Consider the following 14,737-nt stretch of genomic DNA (forward strand, 5'->3'; position numbering starts at 1 on the left):
AAAGAAGTGAAAATAGCCAGTTGGTGAAAGGTCAGGTGAATATGGCTGAGGAGGCAAGACATCATAGCCCAATTCATTCAACTTTTGAAGCGTTGGTTGTGCGATGTGTGGTAGGCGTTGTCGTGGAGAAGAACTGGGCCCTTTCTGTTAACCAATGCTGGCTGCAGTCATTGTGATGTTCCATGCATCTCATTGATTTGCTGAGCATACTTCTCAGATATAATGGTTTTTCCAGGATTCAGAAAGCTGTAGTGGATGGGACCGGCAGTAGACCACCATACAGCGACCATGACTTTTTCTGGTGCAAGTTTGGCTTTGGGAAGTGCTTTGGAGCTTCTTGGTCTAACCACTGAGCTGGTCATCACCAGTTGTTTTATAAAACCCAGTTTTTGAGATACATCATAATCCAATCAAGAAATGGTTCATTTTCGTTGCATACAATAAGAGAAGACAACACTTCAAAATGACTATTTTTTAAATTTTCACTCAGCTCATGAGGCACCCACTTTTCAAGCTTTTTCACTCTTCCAATTTGCTTCAAATGCCAAATGACTGTAGAACAGTCAACGGTGAGTTCTTAGATAACTTCTCATGTAGTTGTAAGAGAATCAGCCTTGATGACCGCTCTCAACTGGTCATTGTCAACTTGCGATGGCCAGCCACTATGTTCCTCATCTTCAAGGCTCTTAGCTCCTTTGCAAAAGCTCTTGAACCACCACTACCCTGTACATTTGTTAGCAGTTCCTGGGCCAAATGTGTTGCTGAAGTCGCGAGTTGTCTCCGCTGCTTTACAACCCATTTTGAACTCGAATAAGAAAATCACTCAAATTTGCTTTTTGTCTAACATCATTTCCATAGTCTAAAATAAACATACACAGCAAGTAACAAGTCATTAGCAAAAAAAAAAACATAAAATGAGAAATGCCCATTAAAATGACGTATAACATAACCACATTTATCTAAGAATGTATTCCAATATCAAATGGTAAATCCCAACAATGCAAAAACCACAATTACTTTGCGCTCACCTAATATCTAAAGCTAATATTGAGACAGGCATCTTTCCTAGTTGAATTTCTCTGTAAAAGTTATGTTATTTTCTTACTGAGAGTGTATCCTTTCTAGGTCTTAGCTATACTAGATATTAACTGTGACGCTCCCAACCCACCCACACACCTTAATGGGCCCTAATCCTTTGTCTTCTGTCCCCTTAGCAGTCATAGCTGTTAAAACAAATGTTGGTAACCTGGGGATTAGCAAACAACTTCAGGACAGGTGCCAGCTTCGATACACGTTTACCTCTCTAAAGACCTGCTTTTTCTTTTAATTTAGGAGGGCAGAGAAGGCCTTTAAGGCCATCCTTACTCTTCCCAGCTCGGTCAATAATTCTAAAGATATAATTAGAACGCATTTTATCTAGCCTTTTTAGATGTTTTGTACTGGAGGATTTGGGAGAAGGCAATCTAAACTTTAATTTTAAATTTTAAAGGCCAAAGTCATCTTGGTCATGTTGTACAGGGTATAACTTTGAGGATGCTATCAAACACCTCTTTAGGTACTAGAATAATCCCTAGAGTACTTTTAGAGAGCAGAGGTGAAATAGTTTTCCAGCCAGGCTACCAGCCTAGTTATACTCTTCAATTTTTACAATAGTAAAGTATATTTATTCCCTTCTTCTTAGAATAGGATGAGGCACTGGATTAAATGCTTTATACAAGTTATTTCATTTAAGACACAACAGGTAAGGTTATGCCAAAGTAACTTGCAATAAACTAATGCTCCTGATGAGAATAACTAGAAGCCATTAAAAAAATACCCCAAAACTTTTTTGAAGACATTAGAGAGTTTCTGAGACAACGAGGGCTTGAAATAAGCAGAAACTATAGAGAGAATCAAAGATCTGATGGACTTCCACTTCTGAACGTGAGAGGGGCTTTGAGGAAGATAATAATAACATATAGGTCAACTAAAAATGCAGGAAAAAAATACCAAAAAAATCATTTAAAGGCATTAAAGAGCTACTTAAATAAGTAGGGCTTTATAGTTAGGTTGAGCTGATGTACTGCAGCTATTTTTTTTTTCTTAGCTGAATGTATTTGCTGATTCTGGGAAGGCAAAAAGCTGAGAAGCTGAGTGTTGCCTGGGATGAGGGCCAATAACATTGATAGAGCTATTAGTGGCCTCATAGAGCTGGGAAGAAGAAAACTTAAGAATTCAGAAGTCAATATCCTGGTGAGGAGGGTGTATACAGAAAACTGAATCTAACACTCAGCTCATTTTCCACTCAAGATATTTGCCAAACTCTGAAGGGAAGGAGGCTAAGAGGCTCACCAGAAAGCCTGAAAAGCAGAGTGGAGTTCTGGCAGATTCAGTGTGCTGAGGAAACAAAGATTAGAGTTCAAAACCTTCCAGGAGGAGGAACCCTGGCACAAACATCAAACTCTCAGCTTTAGAAGGTCGTAGATTACAAGCAGAGGTGAACCAAAGATAAATTTAGCTTTACCAAGACTGCAACTTTGCCTTGACTCAGTTCAATCCCTGATTGGACTGAGGCAAGCAGCCCTGAATCTGTCTGGCAGAAGAAAGAGTGGATACTCTCTGAAGGAAGATTATACATCTGGCAAAATTCTCTATCTTTTCATCTATTTTCTTGAAAAAAAAAATTTTTTTAAACAGGCTCTCACTCTGTCACCCAGGCTGGAGTGCAGTGGCATGATGACAGCTCACTGCAGCCTCAATCTCTCAGGCTCCAGGGATCCTCCCACCTCAGTCTCCCAGGTAGCTGGGACTACAGGCCTACATCATGACACCCAGCTAATTTTTGTGGGTTTTTTTTTTTTTTTTCATAGAGACAGGGTTTTGCTAAGTTGCCCAGGGTGGTCTTGAATTCCTGAGCTCAAGCAATCCACCCACTTCGGCCTCCCAAAGCATTTGGTTTACAGGCATGTGCCACCATGCCCAGCCCTGAAATTTTTAATATCTATTTTTGTTATACATAATACTTGTCATTTAATCAAACATTATTAGAATACCAAAAGGCAAGACCACATGAAAAAAAAAAAACAAGAAAAAAGTATATGACAGAATCAGACCCGCAGGAGATTCAGATTTTGGAATTAGAAGACAAGTACTTTGAGATTAACTATCATTACCATTTCCAAGAAAAATAGAGGAAAGGGGGGAAATGGATGAAAAATGAAGATGTTCCCAGAAAATTGGGAACTATAAAAAATAACTAAATAAAAATTTTAACTCAAAAATATAGCTGAATAAAAAATGCAGGAATGTATTTAAAAGCAGAATTAGACATAGCCAAAGAAAGGCTATGTGAACTGGAAAACAAGTCAATAGCAAATATATGAACTGAAGCCCAGACAGAAAAAAGAGTGGGAAATAGAGAAAAGAGGATAAGACAGTGGGGCAAAGTGAAAACATATAACATACGTCTAATCAGAGTCCCAGAAAGAGAAGAGAAAGAACATGAGACAGAGGAAATATTTGAAGAGATAATAGCAGAGAATTTTCTAACCTCCACCTAAATCCCTACCCAGAAATATATATTTACTGAAACTGTCTTTCAAAAATGAAAGCTGAAGATGTTTTCAATTAAACAAAAACTGAGAGACTTCTTCGCCAACAAACATACATTCAAAGAAATACTAAAGGGATTTTTTTCAGGCCAAAGGAAAAATGATCCAAGACGGAAACACAGAAATACAGAAAGAATAACAGAAGGAGTAAAACACAGACAAATAAAAAAATAATGGTGACTGAACAAAACAACATGATCCTATCTCATGGGGCTTAAAGTATATTTAGAATTAAAATATATAATAAAAATGCAAATGATAGGAGGATGGTAAAGTGCTTAAGGTCCTAGCTTTATCAAAGAAGGTGTCAAAATGATCATTTTCACTATACTGTAAGAATAAAGGATGTGTGTTGTAATCACTAGGGTAATCACTAAAAGAAAAGAATCTGTAACTATTAAGTTAATAAACTGGAAAATATAGAATAACCAAAAAAATCCAAAAGAAAACAAGAAATGAAAAGGAACATAAACAAATGGGTCAAATACAAAACAAATAATAAAATGGTATATGTCAACTCAAATATATCAAGAACTGGGTTAAATACAAATATACAAAATACTTAAAAGGTACACTATGAATAAGAGTTTTGAGAAGTATCACAGTGTAAATGTTGTGACCACAAACTTTTAAGTTTGAGCTCAAGTCTTAGCTCCAACACTTACTAACCCTCTGACCTTAGACAAGTCACAAATCTTGCCTGTGCCTCAGTTTCCTCATCTGTAAAATGAGGTTAATAAGAGAAACCAACCTCATAGAACTGTTGTGAGAGTTAAATGAGGCTATAACTTAGAATCGTGCTGACCATGTAATAAGGGTTATATAATTATAAGCCACTTGATATGGTTTGGCTGTGTCCCTACCCAAATCTCATGTTGAATTGTAATAATCCTCATGTGTCAAGGGCAGGGCCAAGTGGAGATAACTGAATCATGGGGGCAGTTTCTCCCATACTGTTTTCATGGTAGTGAATAAGTCTCAAGAGATCTGATGGTTTTATAAATGGGAGCTCCCCTGCCCAAGCTCTCTTGCTTGCCACCTTGTAAGACGTCCCTTTGCTCTTCCTTTGCCTTCCGCCATGATTGTGAGGTTTCCCCAGCCATGTGGAACTGTGAGTCCATTAAACCACTTTCCTTCATAAATTACCCAGTCTTGGGTATGTCTTTATTAGGAGCATGAGAATAGACTAATACACCACTGTTGTTATTAAGCCTCACGACAAGCTTGTAAATAATCAACCCATTTCATAGAGGATTGAGACTTGAGTGATAGTGCAACTTACCCAAAATTATCCAGCTGGGGTGTTACTATGAACTGATAGGGTAGAGATGTGAAAATGTCTCCAGCACTCATGCTCCATGACAGCAGAAATCATGTTTGTCTTGTCTTGTTCATCACTATATATTCAGTGCCAAACACATAGTTAGTGCTGTATAAATATATGTTGGATGAATGAGTGACTCTTCCTACAGTGCTATTCAGATACTGTTCTGTCCCAATCAGTAACACAGAATACTAATATTAGTACTAAGTCCTTATTTGAGAAAAGAATCTCAAATTTAAGATTCACACTGTAAAAAGAAAAATTTGTGGGGAAACTTTTTATCATTAGTATTAGTGACAATACATATTTATTTATTACATACTATTGGCCAAATACTTTGTTAACACATCATCTCCATGATCTCACTTTATTCTCATAATCACTCTGTGAGGTAGGAATTGTTATTGTTCCCATTTTAAAGATAGGAACACTGAGACTTGGAGACATTAAGTCACTTGCTGAAGGCTGCACCACAAAACTGGTGGGATAGAGATTTAAATCTAGTTCTGTCTGACTCCAGACCTAATTTCTTAATATGTGAAAAGTATGTGATTCATCTGCTTCTCTGGATAACTCATTTCTATCCTTAATTACAAACTGAAAAGTTGGCTTGTATTACCTTGGCCCTGTGAATAATTGTTTTTGAGTTGCTGCTGAAACAATGGGCCTCAACCATTTATGAATGCCTGTGTCAAGGGCAGCCATGAGATGGAGTCCCAGTATTCTTCTACTAAATGACTTGGTGTTTCAGAAGGCTAGACCTTCTCTAACCCCTGACTGAGTGGGCAGTTGTGGGGTGGGAATCCTGACTTTTCTGAGCCAATCATGAAGTCCCATTTCCCTGTGCAGAGACTAGTTCACGTACAGAACCATGATTTAATTCTGGTCAGTGAAACATAGGGGAGAGTCTGCAAGTCTGCAGTGGAGGATAAGAGAAGCTTCTGGACAAGGTTTATTCACCCATAAAAAAAGTGACACAAGGAAGAGATAGGCTCCTTCTCCTGGTGGGGCTATTATGTCTGCTTAACATGCCTGGAAACTATGGCAGCCATCTTATCATTAGGAAGTTAGCACAGGGACAATCAAGAGTAATGAGGATAGGCTGGGCACAGTAGCTCACGCCTATAATACTGGTACTTTGGGAGGCTGAGGTGGGCAGATCACTTGAGGTCAGAAGTTCGAGACCAGCCGGGGCAACATGGGGAAACCCCATCTCTACTAAAAATACAAAAATTGGCTGGGTGTGGTGGTGCGCGCCTGTAGTCCCAGCTACTTGGGAGGCTGAGGCACAAGAATCGCTTGAACCCAGGAGGCAGATGTTGCAGTGAGCTGAGATTGCACCACTGCACTCCACCCTGGGTGATGGAGCAAGACTGTCTCAAAAAACAAAAAAAAGAAAGAAAAAGAAAGAGTAATGAGGATGGTAAAATGAAAAAAACAGAAATAACCTGAGTTTAAGCCACTGACTTAACCAACTTTGAAAACACTCTACCTTGCATCTTGTATTGTAGGATAATCTATTTCCTTTGTAGTTGAAGATACGTGAGTCAAGGGATCATGTCACTTGTGCCAAAAAGCCTCCTCATTAACCTACTCCTATACACAAAAGATCAGAAAAGAGAAAAAGAGATAATTGATTAGTAAAATTAAGAAGTCCATGTCCAGGTTGTTTAGCAGGAGATGGTATGGGCAGGGCTGGGGGTGTTGGAGAAGGGGCAGTAGGCCAAGCTCTACTATTTCTGTAATCTTCAGCAAATTTTAATCACTATGGACCTCTATTTCACCGTCTGGTTGGTTTTTGGTTTTTTTATTTTTAATCTTTAATTTTTAATTTTATTTTTAATTTTTATTTTGTGTGTGTGTGTGTGTGTGTGTGTGTGTGTGTGTGTGTGTAAGTGGGTGGAGGAATCCTCTGAGCCATTACATGACTCTGTTCTCTGAATCGGGACAGTTGAAAACACTTCACACAGCTTAAATCAGAGGTCCTCAAACTTGATGCATATTGGAAACATCTGGAAAGTTTTTAGAACTGTCCAATGCACAGGGCACGACTTGGACCAATTAAATCCAAATCTTATGAGGTTCAGGGGGAGGCATCAGTATTTTGTAAAGCTTACCAGTTAAATCTGATATGCAGGCAAAGTTAAGGACCACTGGCTTAGAGGGACCATCCAAATCCAGGAATGGGTGTCCACTCATTGTCAAAAAGAGGGAAAAGTCAAGGCCAGGAGTCAGCAACGGTGCACATGGACTGCTCTGAGTTTGGGATCCTTCCCCACTAATGAGAGGGTTTGTTCAGATGACAGCTCCCAGTAGCTGCCAAAAAACTCTATGAGGAACCTAGAGATGAAAGCTGAGGAAGAGATTCTCCCTTTGCAGCTTGAAGGGTCACTCAAACTTGTGCAGAACTTTTGGATTCACATTGATAAAGATGCACAGTTCACTGCCACCCTAGAGTTTTCCAGCCTTTCAGTCTGGGGATGAACTAAAAGGAGAGCCATCAATGTAGAGAGAAAAAAAATAGTCCTTCCTTAAATAACTAAATTAAACTTAATATTTTTTGGAACAGAATATCATGCATTCCAAATTTAAGTTATTCTCTCATGTTAAATTTTTAAAAGCAAAGTTGCTTCTACTATTAGGCGAGATATCAGGATGTGAAATGCAGTTAATTCTATTTGATAGTAAAGCTCCAGGAACACCCTGCTCTTTGACCAGCTCCTCCCTCATCAGCTGCCCAGGGTCACCCCAAAATTGGGTCAAGCTGGTCATGCCTGCCTGAAAATAGCTCTCCTGTAAGAAGGGGGCTGCGGGAGAAGGGGCAACTCCATGGGAGATTTCAAGGAGGCTGTGTGAAGCAGAGGGAGGGACACTAAGTGACAAGTCACTGTTCAGCTGGCTCACCCTGGCCACACTACCTTGAACAAGTCACTTCACCTATCTGGATCTTAGTTTCTTCTTTTATAAAGTTAGGCACTTGAGCCCCATGGTCTTCGAGGTCCCTGTCAGACCCAAGTTTGATTTTTCTCCATCCCTTGGGAACAGGGCAGTCCACCAAACCATCAGCATAAATAGAGAGGAAACAAAATAGGGGCTGTAAATTCCAGCTCTTACAGAGCTCGGCAGATAGTGTGAGAGAGTGAAGGCATGGGTAGAGACTGTGGCCAAAACAAGGCAGTTTGACCCATCTAGGATGCATGCCCCATCTAAGGGGCACAGCTACTATTCAACTTCATGTATTTGTTGCCATGTGGGGAGACCTTACAATTTTTTTAGGAAAAAAAGTAAACCCAGATTTTTTAATGTAGTCTGCTGATGGTTATATCATGGCAATAAATTCTTTAAAAATCCCGTGTCAAATAAAATACATCTGTGCCCAGATACAGCCTGCAGGCCTGTGGTTTACAGCTCTGACATAGAGGATTCTATGATATGATAAAAGTTTATTCTTCATAATTGGGCCTTTTTAGTAGATTGGTCAACACTGTGCAGATCTTTCTTTAGATACACTGTGCAGATTTTAGGCAGAACTGGAGCAACAACTTAGGTTCATGGACCTGCTGCCTCTCACCCCAAGGAGCAGTGCTGCTCCCTTCAGTCCAGGACTGGCGCCTACTGCCCCTTCCCTATGCCCCTCTGTGCAGCTGGAAGTTCTGCCCGTTCAGGAACGTGCTGTAGCTCAAGACGTAGCAGCCACTCCAACCTTTCCCACACCAACTCCTTCCCCATTTTAAAGCTGAGACATGGCCTCCAACATAACCCTGACCCAGCAGATTGTGTGTGTGTGAGCAGAAACCATAGATGAGGACAGTCAGGGTAGGGGAAGAAGTAGTAGCAACAGCTCAAGTTATTGACCCTGCTCTCCAGCCCCAATGGTCAGGTGGTAGGAAGTGTGCTCACTATTGAGACTGGGGCCTTGTGAATATCCTCAGATGGATCCATGTCTTGGTCCATACTAACTCTGCTCAGTTGTTCCTAAATGAAAAATGAGAATGTCAGTTGAGTTTCTTATTTGACTGTGGCTTTGAGAAAGAAAATATACTCAGGCCTTATATCAAACACATTTATTCTTAAAGTGAGAAGCTCATCAAGGATAGCTAGAGGAGAGTGAAATATTTACAGTAGAAAAGTATGGATGCTAGCCAAACTTCAAATTCTGTCACTGCAGAGTTATTCCGATAGTACTTTTCCACCATGGCACATCACACATGTTAAAATTAACTGCATTCTTGTAACACCTCTCAATGGTTGTGCACAATAATAGAAGCAACATTCTGGGACTCTTTTTCTTAAGATCCTACAGAATGAATTTATGCACACACAAAAACAAGTATAATACAAAACATTCAAAACAAGTCACATCCATTTTTTTAAAAAAAAGAAAACAGCAAGATGAAAATAGGCAAGGGATGGGTTGCTACTTCTATGTGCAAGGTACTGGATTCTTGCATTGAGAATCCTAGTGTCGGGCCTCACGTCAAGCATCACATCAAAAAAGTGTGCAGAAAAATGAGTCACCTTCAATATGAAGGATGTGAGTTGTGTACACTGACAACGGTCTCAAAGATACAACATTATTGCAGGAGGAATGCCTGTGTACAGAGTGGACCATCTTATGAGGCCAAAAACCCATGAGTTACCAGATGACCATTCAGATATTTGGGTTAAACGATGACAGTTTTCTGGTTTAATCAAGGCACTTGCAAAGAGCTATCTTTGACATGACATGAAGTCCCTACGTGTTGTTAGCCATTAATGATGGCATGGTTTTTCTATACCAAGCATTCTATAACAAGAACCCAAGCCTGACAGTTTGATCACAAAGTCACTTATAACATCAGGACTACAAAGCCAGATTTGCTTAAACTTTCCCCAAATTATGATTTTTTATAGATCACATCTGAACAGAAAGGCTTCACTTAAGATCTTGATTCTCCGGAGCTATAATTCATCTTCTTTCTCCAATACCACCCACATTCTTAAAGGTTATTTAGCTTTTCTCCACAAGGATACGTAGAATGGATCTTTTTCCCCTCCAGAAATAATTTCCCCAGGAAAGAATTGTAAAACCAACTTAAAAACACAAAATAACCTTACGTTTTTCCACCAACAATGATCAGACCTCCCACTCCTCTGACTTGAGCTTCAGAGCCCTTTGTGTATACTTTTCACACATTCCTCATACCATTAACACAGCTTTCCATCACCATCAGCCATCCTTCCTCAACTTTTCCTTGCCCAACATGAAAGCTAGTGGATTGAGAGGGAAGGAAGAAGGGAACTGAAAAAGTATTACCTTTATAAAAATAGTTTTCAACCTGTTACTTGATCCTTCAAAGCCAAATTGGGTAGCATCATCTGTACAGACCCCAACACTAAATTCTCAAGTGTCTTTCTTTTCCATAGCCAGGTCTCAAAAGCTCAAATCTAAACCTACTGATGGAGTAGCAAAGGCTTCCTAAAATTGAGCAATACAGACCTAGGATTGCATGGGGGAATATGACAAGTCAAGACCAGTTACATTGTTGCTTAATTCATCGATAAGAGGCCAAGTTCTCCATTCTCCCCCAGCTCTGCCACTCTGGGAAGAGCCCACTAGCCAGCCTCGGACTGCCAAAGATTGTTGACTCTAACTCTGTCTTAGGAGACGTCTGGTGGAATGCACAGTCCTGGGGTGCCATCTGTGTCTGCACCCCATCAGGCTTCCATTGAACATGAACAATTCTATAATTCTGACCATCATTGTTGTCCCAAAAGACTTGCCCATTAGCATGGTAAGAAATGCAGAACTCAATTTTCTGCTCAGTTGGAATGACAGGGGGTAAGTCAATGGCAAATGAGAAGGTATCACTATCTGTGCCACCATACACATTTTTCATATAGACACAGTCTACGTCAGTGTAGTTTTTCCAAGAATCGAAAGTGATACGGATCTGAACTTTCTTCTCAAAACTCACATTTTTGACTTTAACAGTCCCTGTCACTGTTCGCTCTTGCAACGAGCAGTTCTCCAGACAGACAAAGTTCTTCTGAAAGTGGCTCCGGAAACTTAAGTAATCGGTTGAAGGCTGAGGGAAATCTAAAATCAAGTTTTTCTCCTCGTGGTGTTTTAAGGCAGAGGAGATATCATTAAGGTCCAAGAGATCAAACTGCAGATCCCACGCTGGTTCTTCTGGGAGGTCGGAGAAGACATGGATCGCAGTGAGAGAGAGGCCCTTGGAGTCAGCAAACACAACGCGCTTCTTGGCTTGGTTGTGTGAGCACTTCCAGTCATTCTGTGATTTGGCTTTGTGTTTTATATTGAGACATGATTTCAGGGGCTTTAATTTATTCACAAAATGTCGTCGTTGAAATTCATCGTACGGGCCCAGGAAACTCTTCACAGGTGGTGAATGTGCCAAGCAAAGCCTCATGGCCACATCCACGGGCATGACCGAACTTGTCAAAGGACGTGGATCTAAAACCTGGATCATTCTGGAATGCAAAAAGAAGAGGGATTATCACCTGGATCGGAAATGCTCTTCCCCAGTGCCAAATACATATGTACTATTTTTGTGCTGACTGAATTATAGCCAGTGCACTAGATATCAGGCAGGTGCTATCATATGTAGTAAAAGAGAACAGTATTAAGTGATCAGATCTTCTATGTCTACCTCTACCCTTGGCCGGCTAAAGGCTATTAATTGCTTAAAACACTTAGAGGGTGATGGGGGTCTCAGTTTCCCCATCTGAGAAATAAAAGGGTTCGATTTGATTATCTCCAAGGCAGCCTTGAGAACTGTGTGCTCTGTTCTGGACCAGTGGTCCTCAAACCTGTCTGGTCACTATGTCTAGGGAATTCATTTTCTTTCTTTCTTGTCTTTCCTCCTTTCCTCCTTCCCTCCTTCCTTCCTTTCTTCCTCTCTCTCTCTCTTTCTCTTTCTTCTTTCTTTCCAATTCCTGGGACTCAGAACTACTGAGGCAGAACTTCTGGGGCTAGGGCCAAGGGATGGGTATGTTCTTAAAGCTTCCCAGGTGATTCTAATGACCAGACAGGTTCAGGAGCCACAGTTCCAGACCCTCTGCTCCCTCTGGCTACGTTGGCTTATTTTGCTGCTAAATTGATTGACACTTCTCTGGTAAGGTAATTCACTTGAAAAAAAAAAAATAACATGCAACAGTTTTGAGAGTGAGAAGGCTAGAGAAGAAGTCAAAGAATCATCTTTGCACTTTGATTATCATGCTCTTATTTTTCACAAATAACCACTGAAATACAAGCCAACAATTCATATGCACTTAAAAACTATATAATTGATAATTCACCTAAAGAGATGCCCATGACAAGTCCACATTTAAGTGGAAAAACTGATTACCTGAAAGTTGGAGTGTTTTAAAATATACATTTTATATATACAAACTTATAAATATTGAAAAACTCTATAGGAAATACACCTTTCCTAATAATTTAATAATTATTATTTCTGGGTGATAGGATTATAGATTATCTATTTTCGTTTTTGTTCTTTTTTGGCATTTTCTAATAGACATTTATAAGTAGAAAGACAATAAAACCATTTAAAGTTTTAAACATGACTATGCTCAGCAATATTAAACCAAGAAGCATCTATAAAGAAGACTTTTCTCTGACCTTTAGCCCTCATCATATATTTCCAAGCTTATGGTATTAAGATTTTTTTCCCTATCTTAGCCTTACAAGTAAGAGGTGTGTGTATACTGTACACGACATTTCTCAGTCTGGCTTTAGTAACTCTCCTCACAGCAGCTCTAAACATGTATGCAAGTGGTCATTATCACAAAAGTGTGTAATAACACTCGCAGAATTTACTGTGTTAGCTCTGGGGTTTTTCTGGGAGATCTGCAAACTTAGAACAAACAAATGAAAGCTAAAGCTATATTTGTGGGTCTAATAATAGTTAATAGGCAGGATTTTTAGAGAAGTCTTCTGCTAAGCTATGTCTGGAGAAGCTATTTAAAGTAGTTTTATGGGAGGTTTTTTTTGGTTTTTTTGTTTTTTTTTTTTTACTTTTTGCATTTATAGAAAGACAGTTTTAGTTTGGGTGATTTCCTTGGAACTTTAAGTCCTGGACAAGAGTTAAAAGTAATCGTTTGCTCAAACTCTTGAGATTTTGCTATGGCAAACTGTGATAAGAAGGACGAATGAATGCAAACGTCGTCCTGTAATTTTTTTCCTCCAAGCTAAACCACCTAACCAGCAATGTCAGAGTGCTGTTCTCACCACTTCAGCTGCCCGAGTCTTTGGGACATTTGTGCAGGACCAAAAGAACAGCCGCATCCATGAGAAAATCCTAACTCAAGCTGATTCACGTTAAGATAATTTCTGCTTTAAGATGCTGATTACTAAAATAGGCTCTGCTTAAGAAATAGAGCCAAATTTCTACACCTCCAAGGCCTCTCGGTTGCCAGATTCAACTACGCAGTCAGTCCACTTGTCCTCCCCCTGGGGTGTCCATTTCCAGAGATGATAGAACTGAAACGCCCCCCAACTTCCCCACAGCTGCGCGTTCCCCTGTGTTCCTAGCGCGCAGAGTTGCAGCGAACCTACCTGGTGCAGCTCATTAGGCAGAGAGGCGGCGGACCCTAAAAGCCAGCACCCGCTGCCTGCACAAATTCGAACCACAGCTCCAGGCCTTGCCCCCGCGGCGGTCGCTGGGAGAGACTGAGGGCCCGGCGCCTAGAGGCCGCTTATCTGCTCCCAAGCACGTGACCCGATCCCTGGGACCAATCGCCGGGCCTCGAGCCCCAGGGCGCGACCAACCAGCGCCCAGCTGGGGCGCCAGCCCTCGCCCCGGCAACGTGATCGCCCCGGGGCGAGACGTGCAGAGAGCTATCTGGGCATCGCGGGGAGGTTCTGGGACTCCGCGGCCAGCTGGAACCAGCCGCGTAACGGGAACCCTGGGCTAGGGGCCGGGCAGGCACGTACCGCATGCAGCGGGCGCCGGCCAAGAGAGAGCGCAGCCAGCCTCGCCCAGGCGGGGCGCCAGTGCCTCAGGCTTGGGGCGGCTGTTACTTGGGAATAGCTTTGTGGGTCACTGCGGGTGAATCTGCACACAGAAGATGTGGCTCAAACCGAATGTGTATCGCATTTGAAATGTTTATATCGTTCATTACCCGGTGTATCCGCATTTCTCCCTCACCTTAGCCTGCGCGATCCCAAACTGGCTGCATGCTTTTCGATTAGTATGAGTTCACAGATGCACCACACAGTAGACAGCTGCCGGGAATTACCAACTTATCTAACAAATGTTGTTAGGAAAGCATACGAGCCCCATAAAACACCAAGGTGGCATTTAATTAAAAGACACTTCGTATTTCTGTCTATTCTTCAATTTTCTCCCCTGCGGGGAACACTAAAGCCGGAAGTGAAATGACCCTTTTCACACATACAGCCGGTCAAGAGGCAGCAGTCAACCCAAACCCCTTACTCAATTCTGACGTCCTTTGGCAGTGGTGTGGAAATCAAAATGTTAAAATAAAATTTAAAAAATCACGCCGTATGTTTCATGGGCCTTCTGAGCCACTCACTTTCGCTGAAGTTTCATTATTTTGATTAGTTTGAAGAATTTTTAGACCATCATTTACAACTGTAAAATTAAATGTCTAAGTCAAGTCTAAATTATTTTTATAAAACCCACATCCTAGTTTTGCTCCCCTAATTGAGCTATCCATTAGTCAATTAAAATATACAAAAATTCCTATGTCTTTTAAACAACTGTCAAACAGTGGAATTGTTAAAATTATTAGAGTGAAGAAAAAAATCACACTGAATATCACTGGGAAAGGGACTTCATGCCTGGGTTTTATT

General features: G+C 40.8%; 1 protein-coding gene across 1 annotated transcript, besides 3 other annotated features; it reads right to left on the reverse strand.

The window, feature by feature from the left end:
• On the reverse strand, positions 8,964–13,593 carry PPP1R3C (protein phosphatase 1 regulatory subunit 3C). The gene is made up of 2 exons (NM_005398.7): positions 13,478–13,593; positions 8,964–11,388 (listed from the first exon to the last, which is right to left on the reverse strand). The coding sequence occupies exons 1-2, from the start codon at positions 13,489–13,491 to the stop codon at positions 10,449–10,451; spliced, it is 954 nt and encodes a 317-aa protein (NP_005389.1). The 5' UTR covers positions 13,492–13,593; the 3' UTR covers positions 8,964–10,448.
• Positions 13,224–13,725: an enhancer, noted in NCBI's record as "H3K4me1 hESC enhancer chr10:93392459-93392960 (GRCh37/hg19 assembly coordinates)". NCBI's record gives its function as "activates a minimal SCP1, AML or CMV promoter by ChIP-STARR-seq in naive H9 embryonic stem cells {active_cell/tissue: H9 hESC(naive)}" and the evidence as "EXISTENCE:reporter gene assay evidence [ECO:0000049][PMID:30033119]".
• Positions 13,560–13,699: a silencer, noted in NCBI's record as "silent region_2608". NCBI's record gives its function as "represses an Ori minimal core promoter by ATAC-STARR-seq in GM12878 lymphoblastoid cells {active_cell/tissue: GM12878}" and the evidence as "EXISTENCE:reporter gene assay evidence [ECO:0000049][PMID:35858748]".
• Positions 13,726–14,225: an enhancer, noted in NCBI's record as "H3K4me1 hESC enhancer chr10:93392961-93393460 (GRCh37/hg19 assembly coordinates)". NCBI's record gives its function as "activates a minimal SCP1, AML or CMV promoter by ChIP-STARR-seq in naive H9 embryonic stem cells {active_cell/tissue: H9 hESC(naive)}" and the evidence as "EXISTENCE:reporter gene assay evidence [ECO:0000049][PMID:30033119]".

Source organism: Homo sapiens, chromosome 10, assembly GCF_000001405.40.
Source record: "Homo sapiens chromosome 10, GRCh38.p14 Primary Assembly".
NCBI lineage: Eukaryota > Metazoa > Chordata > Mammalia > Primates > Hominidae > Homo > Homo sapiens.